This window comes from Homo sapiens, chromosome 12 (genome assembly GCF_000001405.40).
Source record: "Homo sapiens chromosome 12, GRCh38.p14 Primary Assembly".
NCBI classification, from domain to species: domain Eukaryota; kingdom Metazoa; phylum Chordata; class Mammalia; order Primates; family Hominidae; genus Homo; species Homo sapiens.
In genome coordinates this window covers 21,540,831-21,553,737 of record NC_000012.12, presented here as the reverse complement: position 1 = coordinate 21,553,737, position 12,907 = coordinate 21,540,831, and the positions used below count along the sequence as shown (strand labels likewise).

General features: G+C 38.2%; 1 protein-coding gene across 3 annotated transcripts in view; it reads left to right on the top strand.

The window, feature by feature from the left end:
* The window catches only part of GYS2 (glycogen synthase 2), a 72,271-nt gene that overhangs the window by 51,110 nt on the left and 8,254 nt on the right, over positions 1 to 12,907 (top strand). For all 3 annotated transcript variants that reach the window (XM_024448960.2, NM_021957.4, XM_006719063.4), the window contains 2 exons: positions 7,268 to 7,394; positions 11,147 to 11,242. In XM_024448960.2, coding sequence (XP_024304728.1) covers positions 7,268 to 7,394; positions 11,147 to 11,242 — 223 coding nt within the window. The remainder of the gene's footprint in view (positions 1 to 7,267; positions 7,395 to 11,146; positions 11,243 to 12,907) is intronic.

Genomic DNA, 12,907 nt, shown 5'->3' with positions numbered 1-12,907 from the left:
TACTACATACCACTTTTTCCTGTATTCAGCAACCTTTCCATTCTGTTTTACCTTTATATGTACCTCCCACTTACCAGAATAGTTTCAGATTGGCAGACAGATAGGTGTCTGATTCTATGAGCAATTGAATATGGATTCCTATTAATAGGGATAGGGATTCCCCAAACAAAAATTGCCCATTAAAGGCACCTGTTGGGCAGAAATGACTTCACACTGGTACCAGTTTCTGCCAGTCCTGTAAGTTAGGAGCAGCTGCTGCAATAGATCCAGAGGGAAGGCAATTGGTGCTGTCAGTCAAGATTCCTGGGGCTAAGATCTCTAGAAGTAAAGCTGAGCTATATTTCCAGGGTTGGCAGATCTATAAAGAAGGCAGCAGACTAAGTCCATGAAGACTGTATTTAAATCCCTGACACTTATCAATTTTGTAAATTCACTTAATCTCTCTGCACTTCAGTCTTCTCATCTGTGAATGGTCATAAAATAACCCCACACTCATAGAACTGTAAGGATTAAATTAGACATAGGCCAAGCGCAGTGGCTCCTGTCTGTAATCCCAGTTACTCAGAAGACTGAGGCGGGGGGATCACTTGAGGCCAGGAGTTTGAGGATGCAATGACCTATGAATGTGCCACTGCACTCTAGCCTGAGCGACAGAGTGGGACCCCATCTCAAAAAGAATTCATAAATAGGTGCTGCATTTAACAGCTTGGCACATAGTAAATACATAATAAGTATTAGCTTCTTTTAGTTCTTAGCCCAGAATCTGACACATGATGGGAACTCATTATTTTTAGGAGAGATGTGAATAGGGTTTGGTGAGAGGTGAAGAAAGCGGATTTATCTTCTCCTGCAGGATTTGGTAAGACGTTTTATAAAAGAGATGACGTGTTAGCTAGATCTTGATTAATGATCTGGAATTTGTCATGCAAATAACAGGAAAGGGGACTCACCAGGCAGAGAAAAAAAGTAGAGGAGAAGGCACAGAGATATCAAAGCACATGACTTTCATAGGGTGAGTGGAGATGAAAGTTTGTCTCATAATTTATGTCTACACAGTTAAAATGAATATTTTGAGATGCTCATTTATTATCATAAGGCAGCCACAGACACACACACAAAATAAATGTACAGCACCTTCCTGACATTTGCTACATACTCAAAGCACTGAGAGAAACTCCCATCAATGCAGAATTAGGTATTATATTTTATTAACAATTCTTCAAAAATTTGGCAATAACTTAGGCCTGTGCTGATTTAAGTGCCTATTTAATCACCTGCTTAAAGAACTGTGTAGAATGGTTCTAAACTCTCAGAGTGCATTGATAAGTTTTTGATATGAATGTCATATTTGATTCAGCAAACATTGCAGATCATTTTGAATTTGAATTTATTTATCATTTTGCCTTAGCTACGTAGTGTGGTGAGGAAAGCCCAGGCTGAAGATTTCATGTCTCAGCTCTGGGCTGCCACGGTGTAAAAATAAACTAACTTCCTGAGACCTTACTTCTGTCCTGGAATAAATAAAGAGTCAGACAAGCCTTTGTCTCTGTTTCTTGTTTTGTTTTTCCTACTGATCTAGGTAGGGTCTGCTGTGAGCCAGGAGCTTTCCTGGGCGATTTTTGTACAGGATCTCATTTAATCCTCTTTATAACCTTCAGCTGACCTCTAATATCCCTTCCTCATCCCTGGGCTTCTGCAATTGGCTGGTTTAGAGCCAGAGCAGCTGTTTTCTTATTTTAGTTATGCTGTCATTCTGTTTGGCTGGGAGCAAAACAAATGAACCATGGTGTTTTCATGTTCCAAAATGGGCTTTGGAGAGGGCAACTTTTCCTAAGCTTGGAAACGCTAAAGTAGACACAATGCTTTTCAAATCCCCCTTTCTTGTTCTTTGCCAAGAGAGTACAACGGGTTGCCAGTTTGATGATTGCCCAGATACAGTATCTGTGTCTTTTGTCTTTTTTTGTAGTGAGCTACTTTGCACATAATAGGAACTCAAATCATGTTCTATGAATGAAAATATTGTATTCACTTTTACTTTGCCATTTTTTAATTTCTGTGATTGAATTCTTAAGTACTGGGGTTTGCATATCATTTTATTCTTAAGTTTAACTTATCTCTTACTTATGGATCTGCTGAGATATAATTAATGTTTGTAATGTCCTTGAGGATCCAAGGGGTAAATCTCTCCAATAAAACAAAGACTTCAGACTTTTTTTTTTACTTTAATCCTTGGCATATGATAAGATTATAAAGTGATAAAATCAATTTAAAATTGATAATTCAACAGCCCTCTTTATGTCTTATCTTCTTTACCAATTGCACAAGGTCACTAAGATTAAATGAGGTAATATGTATATTTATAGTATATAAAATGTTATACAATATAATGATAATTGTTACATACCCAAGTTAGGGTTTTTCTTCAAAGTAATCTCTTCTGAAGAATGCATACTTATTATTTCGTGAATAAACATGAAAAGTGTCTATTCTCACTCATAGGTGGGAATTGAACAATGAGATCATATGGACACAGGAAGGGGAACATCACACTCTGGGGACTGTTGTGGGGTGGGGGGAGGGGGGAGGGATAGCATTGGGAGATATACCTAATGCTAGATAACGAGTTAGTGGGTGCAGCACACCAGCATGGCACATGTATACGTATGTAACTAACCTGCACAATGTGCACATGTACCCTAAAACTTAAAGTATAATAAAAAAAAATTAAAAAAAAAAGAAAAGTGTAGAGTGCTTGTGTAAAAATAGTTTGTCTTCTTTCTCTCTTTCTCTGTTTTTGAAATGGAGTCTCGCTCTGTCGCCCAGGCTGGAGTGCAGTGGCACGATCTCCGTTCACTGCAACCTCTGCCTCCCAGGTTCAAGGCGATTCTCCTGCTCCAACCTCCTGAGTAGCTGGGACTACAGGTGCATGCCACCACACCCAGCTGATTTTTGTATTTTTAGTGGAGATGGGGTTTCATCATGTTGGCCAGGCTGGTCTCGAACTCCTGACCTCAGGTGATCTACCTGCCTCAGCCTCCCAAAGTGCTGGGATTACAGCAGTGAGCCACGGTACCCGGCCTGTCTCCTTTTTCTTTGTCTTTCCTTTTCCTTCCAGAACAATTCAGTTCTAAAGCCATTTGGTGGGCAACATAAGGTAGGTATCTGCACTAGAACAGGGAGGGTGCTGTGGAAGTCCAGAGAAAGGCATCAGAGTCCAAGCAGTTTGAGAAATGTCTACACAAAGAGGAGCAGCCTAAAGCAGTGTCAGAGCCAGAATGGAGAGAGGAGGGCATCCGTGCATGTGAGGGAGTGTATGGAGAAAGATTAGTTACACAGAAGAAGATTGACCCAATATGTAGCAAATTAAAGGTAGTAAAAACCAGGGGTGTGTGTGTGTGTGTGTGTGTGTGTGTGTGTGTGTGTTCTTTCTGTCTACTCAGAGCACTTGGGGGAAGTAATAGGCCAATGACAATGAGCACACCTAGTAGCCACGTCTTGATTGCTAAATGCCATTTGCTACTAAAGGGAACCAGGGCTGCCTTTAGAATTGGCTGATTTTAGAACTGTGACAGGTAAAGTACAAGTTGAGCCTGGAACTTCTTGTGTCAAAAATCAAAGAAATGCTCAAGGAACAATGAAGTTTTGTTAAATATATACAGAAACAAACTTGAAGGAGCTCCCACTGGCCAAATCATGGACAATTTGAGTGTCAAAATAAATAAAGATAGTAAGGAATTAGGATGCATTGAATGACATAAGGAATCAGAAGTCCAATACAAATATTAATTAAAAGTTTAATTAGGAATGAGAGATTTACACAGCTTCGAAATAACTGCCTCAATACTTGTTAATAACAAAGAGTAAAAAGAATAACTTTATAGTGGAGAAGCCAAAAAGTCTTGGCCTTAATCAAGAGATCAAAATAAACATCATCATTAATGAAAAAAATAGAAAACCTTTACCACCTGATTAAAATGCAATGAAAAGAACACAGCACCACTTCTGTGATATATCTGCCAAAGATGTGTGAACTAAATCTAATTATGAAGAAGCGTAAGACAAACCCGCATTGAGGGACATACATCAAAATAAATATAGTCTTCAAAAATACCAAAGTCAGAAAAGCCAAAAAAGCCCATGAACTCTTCCAAATTGAAGGACTCTAAAGCGATGTGACAACTAAATGTAATATGTAATTCTGAACTGGATCCTTTGGTTTAAAAATCACTATTTGAATCATCAGAAACACTTAAATGGGGTTTAAGAATTATACGGTAGTGATGCATCAATGTTAATTTCCTGACTTTTATGTTTGTGTAAGATTATGTAAGAATGCTCTTGTTTGTGTATTTCCCACAGTACAGTTTATGAATGGTTCTGAAAATATATGAATTCTCTTCATATTGTACTTGGAACTTTCTGTAAATGTGGGATTCCCAGTACTTTTATATCAGATGTCACTTATTTTCAATAACCCCTTAGGTATGGGTGAGGCTGAGAGATAATCTAATAATAGCTCAGTGATAACTGTAGTAAGTGGGAGAAATAGGATAATTCATTCACAGAGTTAGCAAGTTAAATAGCTATTCTAGTCACAACTTTCCAATTATAGCCATGCTCTTGTCATTAGTAATATTTTGTGCCACTCACATTGTAATGGCTACAGGTACAACACATTTTAAGGCTAAACCTGAACTATTAATATTTTTCCATTACTTTCTTGAGTCCAGAAATCAATACACAGTAAATCAAGCCATGATTTGTAGTATATGCCTATTTTCATTCTATGAAAACTCTCACTGCCACCAAGGCCATTGTCAAGCTACCAATGCGATGTCACTGAATTAAGAGAAAATAGTAGGAAATAGAAGGAGAAAATAGCATGTTGGGCAAAATACGTGCCCCCCACCAAAAAAAAGCGCTGGGAAAAATAGCACATTGTGCAAATTAATTGACTATATAGAATTGACAATATGGAGTACTGTATATATACATTTTTAATAGACTTTATTTTTAGAACAGTTTTAGGTTCACAGCAAAATTGAACAGAAAGTACAGAATATCGATGCTCTTGTTTCTGCGTTTCCAGTGTGGGCCCAGAACTGGCTCATACAAGTGCACAAGAGCCAGTAGTTAAATGTTCAGAAGCTTTGTGAACCAGTTTTAAATACAGCTATTGCTAAAATTAAATTATATAAATTTTAAAATAAGTCAACTATATTAAATGAAAGGTAGTTCTCAAAATTCATCACATCCTAATTATTTACTTCATATTACTATGACCTATGCAGTTGAGACTCTATGTCTGTCAGATCTTCGTGGTGCAAATGCTTTATAATGATGTGCTACTGCTTTCCCTGTCTCTGAATTCGGCAACATCATATTGGTAGCTTAAAAATGGCCTTGGTGGTAGTGGGAGTATTTATAGAATGAAAATAGGCAAACACTACGAATCATGGCTTCATTTACTGCGTATTGATTTCTGGATCTGTAACCTGTACATTGTGAGTGGCAAAAAAAAAATTTTCTCCATGTTCAAAAACTAATATCTGACCCAGCAAAGAAGTCACTTGCATTACTGATGAACTCATGAAGTTCCAACAAATGTCTCTGTTATTTCCGCTCCTTCTACTCATTAACAAAGGAAATCAACCAACATTTATGTCAGAGCTATATTCAGCCATCAATTGAAACCATAAATTGGTTATGAATACAAAATTTTGGAAAAATAAAAATAGCAAATTGTGAGAATTAATTGACTATATAGAATTCACAATAAGGAGTATTGTATATATCCACTTTTAATAGAGTTTGCTTTTTAGAACAGTTTTAGGTTCACAGAAAAATTGAACAGAAAGTACAGTGTCCATTTGCTCTCTGGCCCTTCCCATGCATAGACTCCCCCATTATCAGCATCCCCCAAAGTGGTATATTTGTTCCAGTAGATGAACCTACATTGGCACATAATTACCACCCAAGATCCATAGTTTACATTAGGATTCACTCTTGGTGTTATACATTCTATGGGTTTTGACAAATGTATTCATCATCATAGTATGATACAGAATAGTTTCACTGCCCTAAAAATTGTCTATACTCTGCCCACTCATCCCTCCCTCACCCCTGACGCCTGGAAACCACAGATCTTTTCACTGGTTCCATAGTTTAACTTTTTCAAGATTGTCACACAGTTGAAATCATACATCATGTAGTATTTTCAGATGAGCTTCTTTCACTTAGTAGTATGCATTTATGTTTCCTCTATTTATTTTCATGGCTTGATAGCTCATTTCTTTTTAGCACTAAATAATATTCCATTGTCTGGATGTACCACAATTTATGTATTCATTCACCTACTGAAGGACATCTGTGTTGCTTCCAAGTTTTGGCAATTAGGAATAAAGTTGTTATAAACATCTACATGTTATAACATCTTTTGTCATTTGGTAACTGTATATACATCATTTATCTCATTAAAAATTACAACAAATTTAAGTATTAATATATATTTATACTTCAGTGTCTCAGTTCTTAAATATTTACCAGCATACCACTGCTTAGAAGCCATGGTAAACACTTTGGCTTTTACTCTGAGTAAAATGGGAAGCCACTGAACAACTTTGAGCAAGGGAATGACTGACATTTTTAAAGGATCAATCTAGTTGTGTTGAATAGAGACCCCAGTGGGACAGAAAGAAGCAGGCAAGTATGTTAGGAGGTGATGGTCTCTAGCTGAGAGAGGAGGGAGGTTTGCACGAAGTCCTCTAGCATGATTTAATCTAGATGGCATTCCTAGAACATCTTCCCTGTCCCTTAGTTCCATTTCAGTTGAATAACTCATGCTTAAGGCATGTAAGAGTGGTCTGTTACACAGCCCCCTCTTCCCTGCTCAAGTTGGGAACAAATAGATAAAAAGACAAGAGCAATTAGATAACCAAATATAAGGTTTATTGCATGTCAAAGCTGGACTGGAGGATATAGTTTAGTGTGAGAGCAAAAATGAGCACTCTAACTCCTTATCCTTCAACCTAAGCCTTGGAACCTGAGGGAAAGTTAAATATGCAGCATAGACACTTCTACAGAATGGAGAGAGGAGAACAAACCACCACGGCTTTTTTCTTTTTCTTTTGTCTTATCTCTTTTTTTCTTTCTGAATCTAGAACATAAGGATTCTATAGTAGAGTACTGAAATAACCAAATTGTAGGAGATTTTTCACTTTACTTGCTCCTTTTTCTTTTTTTTTAAATTAGAATTTTCCTTTTTTAGGTGATTTTGCACCCAGAGTTTCTATCCTCCACCAGTCCCTTACTACCCATGGACTATGAAGAGTTTGTTAGAGGTTGTCATCTTGGAGTATTTCCATCATACTATGAACCCTGGGGTTATACTCCAGGTATGTGTCATGTATAGAGTGTGGAATGTTTTGAATTTTGTTAGTATATTATTTTATGTGCATATATATAATATTCAAAGTTGATATTAAATTTCTAATAAGATTTCAATTCTTCAGTTTTAAAAAATTTTGGTTGGATTTATCACAGGGATTAATTTATGATTTGTAGATAATTACTTAAGAATAAGGATGAAGATTATATAAGTATACCACGGTTTGGGCATATTTTAGGAGGTATGTGAGGTATTGCCTCATTGAATTCCAAAGAAAAAGGAATGTGATATAAAGGTTGTATCTTATTTAGCTATCTCTATCTGCCCCATTTATTAGTGTGAAGGAGAAATTGACTGTAAGTAGGATTAATATAATAAATAATAGTCTAGCAATGTTGTTCTTTAAAAATTATTTTAGAATAATTCTTTTTAAAATTTAATGAACATATTTAATATGTAATGGGTAACACAGTCATATGGTTAGGGAAATAAATATAAAAAGGTGTACAGTGAAAAGTCTTCTTCACATTCTTGTGCCTCAAAATAAAAGGTACTAAGAGAGATTAGCAATTCAGTGGTATTGTCAACAATGACATCATTCCATTCAGAAACTCCTCCTTCTTCACCCTCCTTTGTTATTTTATTTTATTTTATTTTTTAACAGATGGTAGTTTCTCAGGTTTACTATGTATTTTTCTTTTCTGGACCGAACTGGCATGGTTGCCATTAGCATCAAGAGCGACCAATTTGTACTTGTACTGAAATGTCTAATTAAAAGGGAAACAAATACTTTAAATACATGCCAATGCAAAGAATACAACAATAACTTTTCCATCTCTTATTAATAATCAGATATTTTTCTGCCCAATGTAAATAAAGTTTCACTTGTGATTTTATTATTATTTCTTTGAGACGGAGTCTCACTCTGTCACCCAGGCTGGAGTGCAGTGGCATGATCTTGGCTCACTGCAACCTTCGCCTCCTGGGTTCAAGAGATTCTCGTGCCTCAGCCTCTTGAGTAGCTGGGATTACAGGCACACACCACCACGCCTGGCTAATTTTTGTGTTTTTAGTAGAGACAGGTTTCATCATGTTGGCCAGGCTGGTCTCAAACTGTTGGCCTCAACTGATCCACCTGCCTTGGCTCCCCAAAGTGGTGGGATTATAGACGTGAGCCATCACACCCGGCCTCTTCACTTGTGACTTTTAAAAAGTTCAGAAAACATTTTTATTTATAATTGAGATAGTAAATGTTGCCTTTTGTATCTCAATGTTATCATTGATATAAAGCTCAAGTAAGGAGCAGCAGAGGCCAAGGTGAGAGGGAATAATAGGCTGAATTATGAAGAGGAAGAATTTTTTCTATTATTTGCATCTTTATCCTAGAATTAAAATACAGAATTTAAAAGTCTACAAAAATAGGATCCTGTATTATTTACAGCAGGAACAACATGAGGGCTGGGCATGTTTGGTCATAAGGTCCTATTCTATTGTTCTAGCTTCACCAAGCATAATTTGCCAGCAGCTATAAAAACTTTAAAATTTCTTGGGGAAAATAGACAAAGGATTGTCTTGAAACATGACATAGGAAATATTTGTATCTAACTCTTCCGGGTATCTCTCTTGCAGATCTAAAAGTGGCCTACTTTTGTGAAGGTGGTGTCTTCTTACTTAGGAAATGTCCACATAAATATCTCAAATTGCTTGCAATGCACTATCTTTTGAGATACATAAAGCACACGTTTCACTGATGAACTTAACACTTTGTTTTTGACCTTGTTCTTATTATTTCTAGTAAAACAATTTACTATTGGAAGTATCATGGATAGAAGAGTATACAACCAAATGCATGAGTGACTGAGGCAATGTGGGAAGTCCTTTCTGTCGGGTCAAGAAAATGTTATAGAACTAACAGCTGACTGTCCACCAAAGTGTCATTTTATAGGGCAAAGTTAAACTTAACAACCCAAAATGATAGAGGAGATATATCTACTGTTTTAAGATAAAGGCCAAAGAAGATGTTACAAAGGATATTATAAATAGACAAATAAGGGAGTTTGTGGAATAGTCCATAGTGAATGAGTCATGCTGTGTTTTACATTAACCAAAGGGAGCTGGTCACTCTTCCCCTAACCTATAGTTACAGGAAGAATGCGACTTCTGGTGGTATACATTTAACATTAGCATATTAGATAACTTGCTAATGTTTTTAGAATAATCTTTTTACGTGTTACTAGACTTAACTCACTCTAGAAAGCATTCATCCAAATGTGTTTTCAGAGAGCCAAATAAATATAAGCATTTATTTCATTAAATTAATTCAATGAACATATACTAAACTTCATGGGTGCCTGGAATATTACTACATAGTGAATTGATGGCCATTTAATAAACATGAAGGATCTGTGAACTTTCACGGCATTGTAGACAAAATTTTGTATACATATGTGTATAAGAATATTTCTCTTCATCATCCTCAGCAAACTAACACAGGAACAGAAAACCAAACACCGCATGTTCTCACTCATAAGTGGGAGTTGAACAATGAGAACACATGGACACAGGGAGGGGAACATCACACATCGGGGCCTGTCGGGTTGTGGGGCGAGGTGAGGGAGAGCATTAGGACAAATACCTAATGCATGCAGGGCTTAAAACCTAGACGATGGGTTGATAGGTGCAGCAAACCACCATAGCACATGTATACCTATGTAACGAACCTGCACGTTCAGCACATGTGTCCCAGACTTAAAGTAAAATTTTTTAAAAAAGAAAATAAGAGATACTCTCCAACTCCCAACTCCCATAGAAGGTGGAGCTGAGTCCAGGAGGAAGTCTGAGGAAATAAAAGTGTGTAAAAATTAAAAAAAGAAGAATATTTCTGGAGAGGAGTTCCAAAATGTTCATCAGACTCTCAAAAGGGCTGATAGTCCCCATCCCACTTTCCTCCTCTGCACCACCCACCACTAAAATTAGAGAACCACAACTCCACAGCTATACAGCTAAACCAAGAGGAAACATTTGCAGAGCAAGAGATAAGGTTGCTGTCTAGATTGTATTACTTCATGGGTAATGGGAAGATCTTTTTTTCATCCAACTCCACTCACCAACCAAGGGTAATTCCATTATCAAATATAAATTCCTAAAAATGTAGACATCCTTGAGACTAGTAAAATTTTTAAGACATATCAGTTATTTCCTGGAAAACAGATTTTGATTAAAAGGTGAGGGAGGACTGCAAGAGATCATCCATTTATTGAGCTCCTGAGAGAGTGGAAGGAATATGTGCCAAGGGAGATTTAAATGGGGGAAGAAGCTGGTCGCATCCAAAACATATTTAACCTACCTCATAAACTTGCCAAGTACTTAGAAACACAGGCTAGAAAGAAGCAAGAAACAAAACCAGCTGGGATTGAAGCTGCAGTGGAGCCCGGCAGTTCCGCACAAGGGTTCTGCAGCCGGGTGCCTGACTTCAAATCCCAGCTATACCACGAACCCTGGCTTTGTGAAGGTGGGAAAGTTATTAATTTCTCTGTGCCTCATTTCTTCAGCTGTAAGATGGGGATAATGATGGCCCCACTTCACAGGGTTGTTGAGAGATTAAATAAGTTAGTGAGACATGTAAAGAGTTTAGTGTTGTGACTGACACATAGTGAACATTGCTATTCTTAGGAGGACTAGGGCCTTTTCCTCCTCTGAGTGCATACAAGGATATAGGCGCTGGTCTGAAGCCAAGCTTTGGTCTATTTCCCCTGGCAGCTGAATGCACTGTGATGGGTATCCCCAGTGTGACCACGAATCTCTCCGGGTTTGGCTGTTTCATGCAGGAGCACGTGGCTGATCCTACTGCTTACGGTGAGGGTTTTCATCATTAACCCATGCTGGGGAGACATGACCTCTAACCAAACAAAGCACAGGGTCTTTACAGAGCCTAACTCTAAAGCTATCCTGATAATTAAACTAATGTTTTTATATTTCTTGTTTAATTAAAAGTCAATTTAGGCTGGGCACAGTGGCTCATGCCTGTAATCCCAGCACTTTGGGAGGCCGAGGTGGGTGGATCACTTGAGGTCAGGGGTTCGAGACCAGCATGGCCAACACGGCAAAATCCCATCTCTACTAAAAATACAAAAAAATTAGCCAAGTATGGTGGTGCACGCCTGTAATTCCAGCTACTCCAGAGGCTGAGGCACTATAATCACTTGAACCTGGGAGGCGGAGGAGGCAGTGAGCTGAGATCGTGCCACTGCACACCTGCCTGGGTGACAGAGCCTCAGGCTGTCTCATAAAAAAAAAAAGTAGATTTATAAATAGAATTCTGTCCTTTGCAGCAACATGGACGCAGCTGGAGGTCATTATCTTAAGTGAATTAATGCGGGAACAGATAACCAAATACTGCATGTTCCCACTTATAAGTGGGAGCTAAACATTGAATACACATAGACACAAAGATGGGAACAATAGACATCTGGGGACTGCTTGAGTGGGGAGTGGGGGAAGGGGCGTGGGTTGAAAGACTACCTACCAGGCACTATGTTAATCACCTGGGCGATGGGATCATTTGTACACCAAGCCTCAGCAGTATGAAATGTACCCATCTAACAAATGTGCACATGTACCCCCTGAACCTAAACTAAAAGTGGAGAAAAAAAAGTAGCTTTAAATATGTGGCCCACAGATAACATAAGAATGCTATTAATATTAATATATTGCCCATGAGACAAACTGCAAAAAGAGTGCAAAACTTGGACAAACTTTGTCCTTTACCTTTTTCCTCCCTGAATTTTGATCCCTTCTGCTGCCTAGAAATGATATGACAATAACCATGGTCTTAGAGTGCATATATTGGTCATTAGATAGTACATATATTATTATTATTGTTATCATTACTGTTATTATTTTAAAGGCCCGTGACAACTTAGCAAAGTTCACCTAAATTGTTTAAGATGGCAGAATAATTTGCATACCATTATCTGTCTGTTCATATTCCCTAGCAGCAAGAAAAGTTAAAATGGGATATATTGTCTGCCAATACATTGCCATTTCCCTGGGTTTTTTGTTTTTTTTTTTTTTTTTTTTTTTGGAAACATGGTCTCACTCTGTTGCCCAGGCTGGAGTGCAGTGGCCTGATCCTGGCTCACTGCAGTCTCCACATTTCTGGCTCAGGTGATTCTCCTGCCCCAACCTCCCGAGTAGCTGGGGCTACAGGCGCACACCACCACACCTGGCTAAATTTTGTATGTAGAGATGGGATTTCCCCAGGTTGCCCAGGTTGGTCTTGAACTCCTGGGCTCAAGGAATCCACCCACCTCTGCCTCCCAAACTGCTGGGATTACAGGTGTGAGCTACCAAGCCCTGGCCTTCCCTCAGTCTTTTATGGGTGTACTGTGGCTCTTTCCTCAGGCTAGATCTGGGGTTTTCAGCCTCGGCTGAACAGTGGGAACACTGGGGAACATAAAAGGCACAGATATCCAGGCCCCGCCCTGGAAATTCTGGTTAGTGAGCAACCCCATGGAGGAT